This window comes from Homo sapiens, chromosome 12 (genome assembly GCF_000001405.40).
Source record: "Homo sapiens chromosome 12, GRCh38.p14 Primary Assembly".
Taxonomy (NCBI): domain Eukaryota; kingdom Metazoa; phylum Chordata; class Mammalia; order Primates; family Hominidae; genus Homo; species Homo sapiens.
In genome coordinates this window covers 96,213,366-96,225,457 of record NC_000012.12, presented here as the reverse complement: position 1 = coordinate 96,225,457, position 12,092 = coordinate 96,213,366, and the positions used below count along the sequence as shown (strand labels likewise).

Sequence of the window (12,092 nt, the reverse complement as noted above, 5' to 3'; positions counted from 1 at the left end):
AGAGATTTTAAAATCTGCCCAAGGGAGATAAGATATAGTCTAAACAGGAATGGCTTTGCTAATTTTGTGAGCAGTCATTTCCAGCCCAGGACAACCCTTCATGCTAAAGAGACACAACCCTTAAGCCCCCAGGCCCAGGCCAGGGAAGAGATGAGTCAAGTCCCAGACACAGAGGGAGGACTTCTTTTTTTGATACCTTGATTGAAAACAATGAAAATGCTTTTTGAGTCTCAAAGCCCAGCTTTTAGGCACTCTGCCAGCAGGCAACGGGAGTGTTTTCCTTCAGCGGCCCCAGTTCCCACTGCAGAATTTAGAACCTGGGAAAACACGCAAAACAATAAGCCATCTGCGAGGCTTTCAGACAGTGCAATTTGCAAGAAGTGCTTTTATATCTTAGTAGGACTCTGCAGTAAGTCAGGATTAATTAATTGCTACGTTAAAGGAGAGCACCTTTAGCATTTCAATGACACAATCACGTGCAATTACGATCACATAAAGGAACACTTTATAATTAATGATGTCTCTACTTCCTGAAACGTATAATCCTTATGTCTTGAATTCCAAAGGGGTTGGCAGACGGCATACCCTAAATATAGATCAGGAACTAATATTTAAATCAGTTTTTAATTCACCTTTTAATATGAACAATAAAACCAGAACAAAAGCTTACCATTATCATGGCTCTATGCCTTTATGTCTTAGAGGCTAAATATTCAGCAACAACAGATTCAAACTGAAATGGCTAACAATTAAGGCCTGAAATGGTTCTCCTAAACAGCAATAATTTTGCCCTAGCAAGCACATTAAAACTGCTTTTCCAGAAATGCATTAAAACTCACTCCAACTGTCCTGGTTTTGGCAACTACGCTATATTATCACTTATCAAGGCACTCTGCCTCATCTCTATGACTTAAAAATGAACATGTTTTTTCTTCCAATTAGGGAAGTTTCCCATGAAGTTGCAAGCACCACATACCAAGCAGTGTTCTAAGTACTTATATGTAATGGCTCGGTCGGTCATCACCACAATCCTGAGACAGGATTCCTACTCCTATTAGCAGTGTTCTAAGTACTTACACGTAATGGCTCGGTTGGTCATCACAATCCTGAGACAGGATTCCTACTCCTATTAGCAGCGTTCTAAGTACTTACATGTAATGGCTCGGTCGGTCATCACCACAATCCTGAGACAGGATTCCTATTCCTATTATTATTCCTATGCTGATTCCTGTTTTATAAACGAGGATACTGAGGCACTGAATTGTTAAAAAATAATCTGCCAAAGCTACCACCTTCCAGGAAAGGTCCCTTTAATTGAACCACAAACCAGACAGGATAAACAGACTTTCCGGATTTTAACACGCATTGTGTCATTCAAGCAATTCAACATGAGGAAAGCCCCAGAGCCTGCCTGCATCTCATTTGTATTGTGAGCAAAGTTCTTCAGCAAACTCAGACGAAAATGCAGAAGAAACAAAATGTGACCCTCAGTAATATCCAAAGGGCGTCCAGAGGGTGGGGAAAATCCCTACAGCACAGCTTTTCTCCAAAAAGAAGGTATGCACTGCCCCTATTTTATTTTCTAACTTGATTCATAGCACGCTATTATTTTCTTTCATCAGTGAACTACGCAGAGGGGATTCCACCCTCCCCAAGACGGCCCCATGCAAGGTCAAGGGTTTACCTTGTCATAATAGTATCGCAGGGCTCTGCTCAGCTTATCATAGTTCATATTTGTTTTGTTTTTTCGGAGTCCCCACAGCTTGGCCACTTCTTCTGCTTTGAGGAGCTTGAATTCACCATCGTTCGAGGTCCAGCAGATCAAATGCTCATGTTTCTGATCCAGCAGCAACTGCAACAGGAACTGCCACAGCGTGATTGCACTCTCCATACCTGCAGGGAGAGGAGGCCAGGTCAGAGCTGCTGGTCACGATGCCGACCAAACTTGGCGAGGAGAGAGGGGGCTTCAGAATGGGCAACTCAGCTGTCCCCTCCTTCCCCCAGTGAACCTAATAAAAAGTAGCTTTCACTTCCATCTCAAGGGGCCACTCTGAACCAGGAGCTTCCTGGCTGCATTTCTGTAAGGAGCCACAATTCAGAAATACAGGGAGGCCCTGTGATCCTCCTCTATTCACCACATGTCCCCACGAGTGACAGCGATGCATGGGGAATGATGCAGAACAATGATTAATGACATGACCACTTGCAGAATGAGTCCCCATTCAAACCATTCCCCACTTAACACAAGTGTCTATTCCCGCCCATCCCATCAATTTCTTTGTGGGTCCGTGATATAGTTTGGATGTGTGCCCCGCCCAAATCTCATGTTGAATTGTAATCCCCAACGTTGGAGGTGGGGCCTGGTGGGAAGTGACTGGATCCTAAGGGTGGATTTCTCATGAATGGTTTAGCACCATCTCCCTTGGTACCATCCTTGAGTTAGTGACTGAGTTCTCATGAGATCTGGTCATTTAACAGTGTGTGGCACCTTGACCCTCGCTTTCTTGCTCTTGCTCCGGCCATGTGACACGCCTGCTCCCCTTTTGCCTTCTGCCATGATTGCAGGTTTCCTGAGGCCTCCCCAGAAACCCAGCAGATGCCAGCATCATGCTTCCTGTACAGCCTGCAGAACTGTGAGCCCATTAAACCGCTTTTCTTTATAAATTATACAGTCTGGGGTATTTCTCTATAGCAATGTGAGAAAGAACTAATATAGTCGGTCTCTAACTAAAATGCTGGACCCCATACTTTATACAGGTGCCTGGAATATCTCTCCTGTGGTTGTGGTATATGTCTAAGTGTAACTGCCTTTCCTACTGTGATGAGCTTCACGAGGAAAGGACTTTGCTGGATTATTTTGTATTGCCAGCACTCTGATAACCCATACAATGCTCAAAGCTGCCCAGTCCGTGGATGCTTGTGAAACCGAACAATCACTGCCAATTGCAGAGACCTTCCCTTTCCCGGCACTCACCATGCTGCAGGTCAAAGCCCACCATCACAGATGCACAGATGGGAAAAGCAATTTCTCCCATGAAGAGACAAAAACCTATATATACAATGTTATCCTTTTCCTTCAACTCTGGTGTGAACTTTTTAAATGCTATTTCTTCTGGCTAAAATGCTGTTCCTTAGCTTTGGAGCCTGGTGAACTCTTTCTCATCCATTGTGACCCAGCTCAAATAGGGCCTTCTCAAGGAAGTTTTTCCCCACTCCTGGGCAGTTTCTCAATTTCAGGCCTTTGAGGACTTTCATGACAATAGGTATTGATTCTAAGTAGTAATAATAATAATAATCCATTTGTGTTATCAATCCTCATTACATTTAAAAAAAGGTGGTTAGACTGGCCTCAAAAGCTTTGCCACGGATCAACTGTTGTGAGTGGCACAGAGAGCTAGGGATCATCCCCTTGGATAGGAGGGAGACACTGAAGTCCTGGTGGGCGGGGGGCAGGGGACTGAACCTGGAGTGACCGCAACCCAGGGGGCAGCTCTGGGAGACCTGGAAGCCAGAATAATTGCCTTGGGGAGGGTTATTTGTACCAATATTGTCAACCCCACAACTCCTCTCAATTAAAGGAAAGTAGACTAGGAGTGCTCTCCAATTACCCACAGGGCATTTTATTTAGGGCTCTTTAAAGGGGATATTCTTTACAGAAATCAGTATTAACCACAATGGTCTGTAAGACAGTCATTTCACTGCTGGGTCAAAACCACCTCTGCATCTCACAAATCTTGCAAGCCCCCACTTTGCTGGGATGCATGGCAGCTGACGAGTCCCAACTCCTCCTATGAACCACCCTTCTGATGACTTGGATATGAGCCACAACTTTCTTCTCTTCACTGGCACTAAGAACGGCTAACAGTTGTCGCAAATTCTTGAGATTTTCTTGGCCAAACATGTCAGTCAGTCAGCTTTAACATATCTTTGAAACTTTAAGTGCCTGCTCAGATGAATCTGCTCCTGAGGGCAGAAGGCTGCCGGTGGGTTTGGAGGTCTGCAGGGAAGGGACTGTGGGGCCTCTGCTCACATGCCAGGTGGGAAAGTGGTCGGCCACCGCCACCCCCCACTTTTAACTGACATCACGTTCCGAATGGGACAGGAGGGCAGCAGAAACATCTATCCATGTATTTTACTACACTTAGCATTTCCACCTGCCTGGCCTCCTCGGAGCTTCTTGTGCATCACAGAATCACTTTTCATTGCAATCCAACCCCATGTGTCAGAGACCATGTTCTGGGCATGACTTATGAGAACCCATATGGCAGACTTGTTAAATGTTCTCAACTGCCCTCTCCTTAGGTGACTGTGTAGCCCTGCACTGGAGTGGCTGTGGGAGGAGTGCTGACATTGGGGCTTTGCCATGTGATTGCATTTGGCCAGGAGACTGACACGGGAAAGTGACAGCATCCCATTGCCGAGTTGGGGTCTTGGAGGCATCATAAGTTGGCACTTTTCCTCCTGTGCTATGCTGCCAGGAAGCTGCTGCCCCAGAATGAGACACATGGAGGTGACCTGAACTCAACCCAAAGTCCGAAGCCAAGCCCCACCCGCCCATCATCTGAAGCAGCATCCGTGACACTGACTTGTGAGAAAAATAAATGCCACTGTAAGCCAGTGATCTTGGGGCAACTGGTTACACAGCACCACTGCAGCAAAAGCTGACTATTAAAATACATGATGTCTTTGTTTAAAAAAAAAATTCTCCCTTTGCTGGGGTGCTGTTATCTTTATGCTCTAGAGCTTGTGTTCAAAATCATGAGAAAGGCCGGCTGTGGTGGCTCACGCCTGTAATCCCAGCACTTTGGGAGGCTGAGGCAGGTGGATTACCTGAGGTCAGGAGGAGTTCAAGACCAGCCTGGCCAACATGATGAAATCCCATCTCTACTAAAAATACAAAAAACCAGCTGGGCGTGGTGGCCCGCGCTTATAATCACAGCTACTTGGGAGGCTGAGGCAGGAGAATAGCTTGAACCCAGGAGGCAGAGGTTGCAGTAAGCCAAGATCGCGCCACTGCACTCCAGCCTGGACAACAAGAGCGAAACTCCATCTCAAAAAAAAAAAAAAAAAAAAAATCACGAAAAAGTATGCTACTAGGTGTGGAGGGATCGGCTGATCACATTTTTACTCAGAGGCCACACATGGGCTAAGTGGCAGCCATGGGTGCTATGGCCATAACCTCAGGCAAAGGTAGAAGGAGAGAAAGAAAGAAAAAGGACAAAAAGGACAGGTGAAAGAGTAGAAAGGGAACAGGCAGAGGAGCAGTGGTGGGGATGGGGACCTACTGCTTCAGGGCCTCCCAGATTTCTGGAATAAAGGAACTCGCCTAGAGAAGGCAAGAGCTGTTCACTAGGAATCACAGAAATGCCCCCACAGTTCAACCAAGCTGCAGAGCTTGGGTGGCAGCTGCAGGCACAGGGGATCATCAGAGGATTACTCAGAGGGGTTGCTATGCGCAACACTGCTCCGGCGGAGGTGACTAAGGGCTCCAGCCTCTCCTGTCTGAGGCATGCCCAGCCTCGCCCCGTGCTGAGGGCCTCGTTCTCCTCTTCTCGCGCTCTCTTGAGCCACTCCTTCAACCTGGTGGATCCACCAGTTTCGATGACTGGGCAGTCATGTAGCCTTCCCGGTGGAAATCGCAGCCAGACATTACTCAGAGCTAAGTCGAAAAACTACTTTCCTGTGAGCTTATCATTGCATCTACAAAGATCAGTCACTCCTGTCTACGCTCAGAAGTCACTCTGGGGTATCGTGGAGCCCCCAGGCAGCTCTGGGACCCACCATCCTCTCTGGCCAGAGCCATCTGCATGATGAAAATGCGTGGTTGTCTGTGGCAGAGGTTTGGGTAGGGGGACAGGTGGGCAGTGGGCCACCAGCTGCCACAGCGCTCTCCATATTGTTTTCGTTCCACTCGACGTAGTTTAACTATGAGATCAAGTTTCATAATTTACACAACTATTTTCACATACAATCACACTGTACATTCCACTGCGCCTCTGCCAGTTGGAAATTTTGCCCTCTGGGGTGTTGGAAAACACAGACTTTGTACCATCATGCTGGGAGGTACGCCCTTCCAATAACCGCTAACACTACAGATTTTCGTAAACTCATCTATATGAGTATCTCTCTCACCGGAAAAAAAATTTAAACGATTTTTTTTTCTAAATTAATTCCTTGATACCTAGAATCCTTAATGAAGTCCAATGTCTTAACAGGCAGGTACAATAAAGCCCATTTATCTGGATGCCACTTTAAGGAATGTGAGTAATTCAGACAGTACACTGTGGCTTTTATTAAATCAACAATTGAAAAAGTGGTGGTACTTGAGATTTATGTTTGATAGATTATTATGCACATGGAGGCCTGCTCTAAGTTAAAATGTTTCATCTGCCTAACTTTACTTAGCTGATTTCCCACCACTCTGAGCTTCAAAAATGTAGAACACATAAAAGGCATGCTAGAAATCTTTTTTTTAAAATTCCCTTTATCTAATGAGAAAATGCTTATCTTGGCCGGGCGCGGTGGCTCACGCCTGTAATCCCAGCACTTTGCGAGGCCGAGGCGGGCGGATCACAAGGTCAGGAGATCGAGACCATCCCGGCTAACACAGTGAAACCCTGTCTCTACTAAAAATACAAAAAATTAGCCAGGCGTGGTGGCGGGCGCCTGTGGTCCCAGCTACTCGGGAGGCTAAGGCAGGAGAATGGCGTGAACCCAGGAGGTGGAGCTTGCAGTGAGGCAAGATCGCGCCACTACACTCCAGCCTAGGTGACAGAGCGAGACTCTGTCTCAAAAAAAAAAAAAAAAAATGCTTATCTTTCCCCTGCCTAGACCCCCACTTTTTTAAGATTCAGGGGGTATACATGCATGTTTGTTACATGGGTATACTGCATAATGGCGGGGATTGGGCTTCTAGCATACCCACCACCCAAATAGCGAACACTGCACCCAACAGGTAATCTGGCAGCCCTCACTCCCTCCCTCTCTCCCCACTTTTGGAGTCCCCAGTCTATTATTCCCGTCCTTATCAGACCTTATTTTGAATGTACAAAATTTTATCAGGTATTTTAATGCCATTCTTTTTGCAGAATCGAACTCTGTGCTTTCATACTGAGGCCCATCAGTCTGCTTTTAAAGGCATTGCTGCTCTTACAGGAAGAGGTGCCCCCTTCACATCTGATACTTTCTGGATTCCTCTGACCTCACCTCAACCTTGCAGCCTGCAGGGCCTTCCCGTCTCTGGCTGGTCTCTCACCATTTCTACCAGCACTGACCAGGACCATGGTCACAGGGGGCTGAGGTCCACCCACTCCTACTCCAGAGGGCAAAACCACCTGTTACTTGCCCCAACTCCTTTCCCTTTGTAATGCAGAGCTGTGATCTGCCATGGTAGAGTGAAGTTAGATGATTTAGAGCAGCTTGTCAAACGTGAATCATATGCATACCTCCTTTAAAGGAGGAGGAGGAAAAGTGATTTTCGTTCTCAGTGTTGACAAATGATTTTTTTTTTTTTTTTTTTTGAGACGGCGTCTCTCTTTGTCCCTCAGGCTGGAGTGCAGTGGTGCGATCTCGGCTCACTGCAACCTCTGCCTCCCGGGTTCAAGCGATTCTCCTGCCTCAGCCTTCCAAGTAGCTGGGACCACAGGTGCGCACCACCACGCCCAGCTAATTTTTTTGTATTTTTAGTGGAGACAGGGTTTCACCATGTTGGCCAAGATGGTCTCGATCTCCTGACCTCAGGTGATCTGCCCGCCTCGGCCTCCCAAAGTGCTGGGATTACAGGTGTGAGCCACTGTGCCCAGCTGAGGAATTGGTTTGTTAAAAAATAATTTTCAAAAGAGGGTTAAATCATGGCTCTCATACAGATATCAAAATGAACACGTTCGAGATTTTATTTCACTCATAATTCAGTAGGGAACCAGGCAGACGTTATAATGAGTTCAAAAAAGCATCTGAATAATAGAGGCATTTATAGAAGAAGAACATTGAAATAAATGCTTAAATGGAGGCAAAACTAGGGGTGGGAGTCAATGGCACTCTGTAAGACAGAATTTGGCTGTCTATAGACGAGAATTATTTCATGATCAGTTACCTATAGTCAACAACGTTGTAAAATACCTTCCAAAAAATCAGAATCACATCATCCGGAGGGAGTCTTCTCTAGAGTCAAGAATGCAGTTTTTCACTGAAGCATAATTCTTTTCTTTTCGACTAGGTCTCACTCTGTCAGCCAGGCTGGAGTGCAGTGGCACGATCTTGGCTCACTGCAGCCTCAGCCTCCTGGGGTCAAACAATCCTCCCATCTCTAGCTCCCAAGTAGCTTGGGCTACAGGTATGTGCCACCACGCCCTGCTCATTTCTTAATTTTTTGTGGAGACCATCTCTGTATGTTGCTCAGGAGTCTCCAACTCCTGGCCTGAAGCAACTCTCCTGCCTCAGCCTCTCAAAGTGCTGGGATTACAGGCATGAGCCATCGCATCCAGCTGTTTAGCTATTTTCTATAACTCAAAGCAGGTGCTAGTGAAGCACTTTTGTCTATTTGGAAGGTAAGCGCAGATTCTGGCACCTGACTCTCTGGGTTCAACAGCAAAGACTCGTCCTGTCTGGTTGTGGGACTTTGGGGAAGTTACTTAACCTTTCTGTGCCTCAGTATCCTCATAGGTAAAATGGGACTGATATGATAAAAGTATCATATCATACAGGGTTGTTGTAAGAGTTACAGAAGTTACTAATAATGCACTTAAACTACACCTGGGGCAAAGTAAGTGCTATTTAAATGTTAACTACAATTACCTTTTAAGCTACAGGGAATCCTCCTCACAGAGCTTGCTGTGGAGTCACATGGCCTTCACCAGGCTAGAAGGCATTGTGTAGCTACAGCACCCACCTGGGCTCTTTGTCCATTAGGCAATGAGCCCCACACAGGCACTGAAATCCAGGGAGACTCTTCAGCCACATGGCGACTGTGGTTTATAAGGTGACTTGGAGTATGCTTCTGTTTTGTAGTCTATCATCAAATATGAAAGCACAAAAAATCGTAAATGCTTGCAGAAAACTCAGATGCTAGGGCACTGATTCTCCGACTCCAGCTTAACAAACACTGGTTTAAATGCTGACCCTGAGGCCTCCAAGCTGTGTGACCTCAGCAAAGAGGGTCCCTGGGGCTCTCTCCTTCCCTGGGGTACATTCGGCTCCCATCTATGTGGTTTCTCTGGAGCAGGAAGGAGAGTCAAGTACATGAGAGCTGTTGGGTCAGATAGCGAAGAAAGAAAGATGTTCTAAATGACAAGCCAAGGGACAATGATGACAACACCGCTCATAGCCGCTGCAGATGGGGCCCTACAGGAGGGCATTCACGGGCTGGTCAGGGCAAAAGACACAGAGTAGAGAGGCCGAGAGTAAAACGCTTGACCTCTGGCACAGAGGGGAGGGACATTTTTGCAGACTCTGAGTGATTATTTTCTGCCCTTATTCTGTTTTCAGCTTTTTGCACTTAAAGAATGCAGTTATGAAAACAGTTTTGAGGCTAGGCGTGATAGCTCACGCCTGTAATCCTGGCACTTTGGGAGGCCGAGGTGGGTGGATCGCTTGAGCCCAGGAATTCGAGACCAGCCTGGGCAAGAGTAAGACCCCATCTCTACAAAAAATACAAAAATTAGCTGTGTCTGGTGGTCCGCGCCTGTCCACCCAGCTACTCAAGAGGCTGGGGTGAGAGGATCGCCTAAGCCTGGGAAGTAGAGGCTGCAGTGAGCTGTGATTGCACCACTGCACTCCAGCCTGGGTGACAGAGCGAGACCATCTCTCTTTAAAAAAAAAAAAAAAAAAAAAGGTTTTATGTCCCTCTTTAGTCTTTCCCATGTTTTTATTTAACTTTGATTCATTCTTTAATCCGACGGAGCCTCAAAAAGAAAGATGCTATTGACAGAAATATTGATCATTCTCATTACGCTGTGCCCGCCTCCGCCTACGTGAGAGCTGTCAGGTCACATGACACGATCCCAGCTTCAGGTGTCCCAGCTGCCTCCTGCCTCTGTCACCGAAAAGCTACTGGCCTCTTCTTGGAAGCTGACCTCCTTCCTGTCGGCCACAAGGTGGCGCCCGACGTCTTAATGTGAGCAAGGGCCGCACAGACCCCTTATGCAAAGTATGAGGTTTTTGCCTCCATTCTTAGAAGTCGAAATGCCCACTTATTTGTTCTTCTTTCTACTGATGGCAACCTAGCACTTCCCTTTGCATGTTCCTTGTTTCATTTTTACTGAGGTGGGAGTTGAGGGGGCAGAATTAGCTTTGATTTTCTTAAGCTTCTATGTGGTGGGAAATAAGAAACGAGGCAACTTAAAAAAAAAAAAAAGGCAATGAGAGCCCAAGAAAAGGAGAAAAACTTCTGGGTAAGGAATAAACAAAATAGGTGCTCATGAGGTACCCATGTCTTTTTTCGTTTGTTAAATTTTGCATGGTTAGAGAAATGAAGATGGATTTGAACACTTCTTACTGAAAATTCTGCTGAGTTCAACTCCTCTGCCAGTATCTGCTATGCATTTCCATGTCATGATACTATCATTGTCTAAGACAAAGGGTAGTAGCCATTTCATTATAGAAAATGAACCCTGTACCTCAGTCAAAGAACTGGAAGACAACATTTTATATTATTAGGGATCTGCAATAACTCAGCACAGAGTAAGTGTAAGGTATTAAGTAAATAAGGATAATATTTGAAAAAAAAACTTATACAAGTTCTGAAGTTTTTTATTATTTCTGTGAGTTGGAAGACTATTAAATTTATTTTCAAAGGACATTTAAATTATTTTGATCATTATCACTGTGTATAAAAAAGGCATGAGGCCAACTTCATGTCTCCCAAGCTTTTCATTTATTAACAAGTATTTGCATTCTGTGAATATCTACAAATTGTTCATTTTAAAAAAGGTAAACAAAAGTAGGTATTGCTCACCTATTTACTTACTCTTTACAGTCTGCAATGGTTTTTGCTGTTTTTTTTTTTGTTTGTTTGTTTTGTTTTGTTTTTTGAGACAGAGTCTTGCTCTGTCGCCCAGGCTGGAGCACAGTGGTGTGATCTCGGTTCACTGCAAGCTCCGCCTCCCAGGTTCAAGTGATTCTCGTGCCTCAGCCTCCCGAGTAGCTGGGACTACAGGCGCACACCACTGCCTCCGGCTCATTTTTGTATTTTTAGTAGAGACAGGGTTTCAGCATGTTCGCCAGGGTGGTCTCAAACTCCTGACCTCAGGTGATCCACCCACCTCGGCCTCCCAAAGTGCTGGGATTATAAGCGTGAGCCACCGTGTCTGGCCCAGTCTGCAATGTTTTTTAAATAACTCTTCCATCTTGGGAAAGAGAAAGGTTGCTGGGATTACATGCCTGTACATGTTATATCTAGCACAATGTAATATCTAGCACAATGCAAGGATTACTGGGTTTTTAATGAACGGATTACATGTCTGTAATCCCAGCACTTTGGGAGACCGAGGAGGGAGGACAGTTTGTGCCTAGGAGTTCAAGACCAGCCTGGGCAACACGAGACCCCCATCCCCACAAAAAACACAAAAGTTAGCTGGATGTGGTGACACATACCTGTAGTCCCAGCTACTTGGGGAGCTGAGGCAGGAGGATCACTTAAGCCCAGGAGTTTGAGGCTGCAGTGAGCTGTGATCACATCACTGCACCCCAGCCTGGGCAACAGAGCATGAACCTGTCTCAAAAACAAAACAAAAAAAAAGAGAGATTTTTCAGAGGAAATCACTGACAACCACTGAAATAACAACATATGCAATTTACTGTGTGTAGGAACACCCCTCTTTCCTTCTGGAACTATGCTGTCTCTGGCTAAATTAGAAGTAACTCAATTGGTTTGTCAGTGACTTTTATATGGGTGAGTAGTAAATGATGGCTTCGTTAACACTGGCTGAGAAAATGTCTTACAACCATTCGACTTTTTCCCACAGAATTCACCGCACCCCACCCTAATAACCACCATACAACCCAGCCCTATGTTATCCTACATTTTCAGAGCGGGCCCACAGTAAGACAGAAAAGGGCCTATTTCCATCCAAGGCTGCCTCGTGTGGGTACCTCTT

The 12,092-nt window shown here is 45.8% G+C and overlaps 1 protein-coding gene across 11 annotated transcripts in view, besides 1 other annotated feature; it reads right to left on the bottom strand.

Annotated features, from left to right (window-relative positions):
- ELK3 (ETS transcription factor ELK3) overlaps positions 1–12,092 on the bottom strand; it is a 75,450-nt gene that overhangs the window by 44,367 nt on the left and 18,991 nt on the right. For 10 of the 11 annotated variants that reach the window (NR_182215.1, NR_182213.1, NR_182214.1 and 7 more), the window contains one exon: positions 1,685–1,893. Coding sequence is in view for 7 of the 11 variants with exons in the window: in NM_001413761.1 (NP_001400690.1) it covers positions 1,685–1,891 (207 nt within the window). In the remaining 4 variants the exon portion in view is untranslated. The remainder of the gene's footprint in view (positions 1–1,684; positions 1,894–12,092) is intronic. The other variant, NM_001413764.1, reaches the window with a different exon arrangement.
- Positions 1,435–1,484: an enhancer, noted in NCBI's record as "active region_6826". NCBI's record gives its function as "activates an Ori minimal core promoter by ATAC-STARR-seq in GM12878 lymphoblastoid cells {active_cell/tissue: GM12878}" and the evidence as "EXISTENCE:reporter gene assay evidence [ECO:0000049][PMID:35858748]".